Genomic DNA, 1,827 nt, shown 5'->3' on the forward strand with positions numbered 1-1,827 from the left:
TCAAGGTGTAGTTGAGAAGACTAATGAGATAATATATGTCATAAGCACTTAATAATGATTGTTTTCACTCAAGTTTTTTTACTCTAAGTATTTGTAACTTCTAAGTTTTACAGCATCTGTAGTTAAGATCAGTAGAAGCAACGCCACTGGGACACCTGTTGCAGGAACACAAGCAAGTCTACATCTTCTCCAAGCTAAACTGCTGAAGTGTCTTGGGTCCCTTGTTTTTGTCTTCTGCTTTACTTTTCCCTGACTTTGGTTTCTCTGGATGTAATTTCTTTCTGATACAAGTTCGTCCTCAGTTCTACTTTTGTTTCCCCCTAATAACCTTTGGCAACTGAACTTCAAGCTCTTTTGTGTTGAATTTTTTGCTGTCCTCTGTTTATTTTATTCATTCATTGTTTTTCCTGATGCAATGTGGCTAAAATGCAGCTCCAGATGCAAAACAGTTTTAGGTAAATTTTCGTTCAAGATTATTACATTAAAATTTAATACTCATAGCATATTCTTGCCTTATAATTTACTATGAAAAAGCCCTCCACATTTAATATTTGAAATAAATCTACATGAGCTAAACAAAAATCATGCATGTATACTAATGAGTAGAATACACTCTAGGTAATCAATGCATTGATCACCTATTAGTATTCACAGATGTTCTAATATATAATGTTTAAGGCATACGAATCTATATCAAAAACATTATTCTTATTAACAGTTACAAAACAATGCTGCTAGTCATTCAATAATGACAGTATTTATCTTCTTCCTAGAAAATGTCCTTTTAATGGTGAGCATTTTGCTTAGTATGGCTAAAATAATATTAATAAATCATGTATTTGTTTCAAGATATGCCAAAGCCAAGAGGTTTATGAAACCGCTTCATCATTTTCTGCTTGATTTTTCCCTCACATATTCTGCCAGGAGTTATTGTAAATTCAGTCCTAATTCGATTAAGACATTCCCAGTCACCTCTTCCTCATATTCTTATGTACACTAGCCAAAATTAGTCAGATAAGTAAAGTTTTCCTTTGACGAGGGGATTTTGATTCTTAAGCCAAAAATAATAGATTTAATGCTGGAAAGATTTAACAGAAAAAATAAACAGAAGATTTTTTCAAAGGGAAATGAAAATATTGAAAGTAAAATAAATCATAGTAATAAAGCTGCAATAAATATTTGATTATTAAAATTCATTGAAGAGGTCACATTTCTATATCCTACAATAAGATAACATTTCTTTTTTCTGGGTTAAGTACCATCAAGGCCTTTGACCTTAAGGCAACTTCCTGAGGCAACTTACAATGGAGACTCCACAATCAACAGAAGCTTTGAGGGTCCCACCAGGCACACAAGTGGAGTGGAGTGACATGGCTGTGGGTTTGATCTGAATGGGAATGAGTTTCTTAGGAAAGCCTAATTCACCAGTTCCAATAATGCTTGAGCAGTAATCTTATAGCTTATGTGCTTTGTAAGAGAAGTCTTTAATGCAGGTAAAGACAGGATAAGTGAATACAGGAACAATCAGGAGAAAAGTATACTTTAATGTACCATTTAGGGGATGGAGAAGAAAGAAAAGAAAAAGAAACAATTATTTCAAGGTCTCATTAACCTTCCTCCACTCAATCTATGTCAAGTAAACATCCCACAAGTGATTATGAAGAAATAGTATAGGTCGAGTATTTCTAACCCCAAAAGCTTCAAAATATAAAGCTTTTTGAGCACCAACATGATGCCACACACAAGTGGAAAATTCCACACCTGACCTTATGTGATGAGTCACAGTCAAAACACAGGCACACAACACAGTTTATTCAGCATCCCTAA

The sequence above is a fragment of the Homo sapiens genome, chromosome 4 (genome assembly GCF_000001405.40).
Source record: "Homo sapiens chromosome 4, GRCh38.p14 Primary Assembly".
Taxonomy (NCBI): domain Eukaryota; kingdom Metazoa; phylum Chordata; class Mammalia; order Primates; family Hominidae; genus Homo; species Homo sapiens.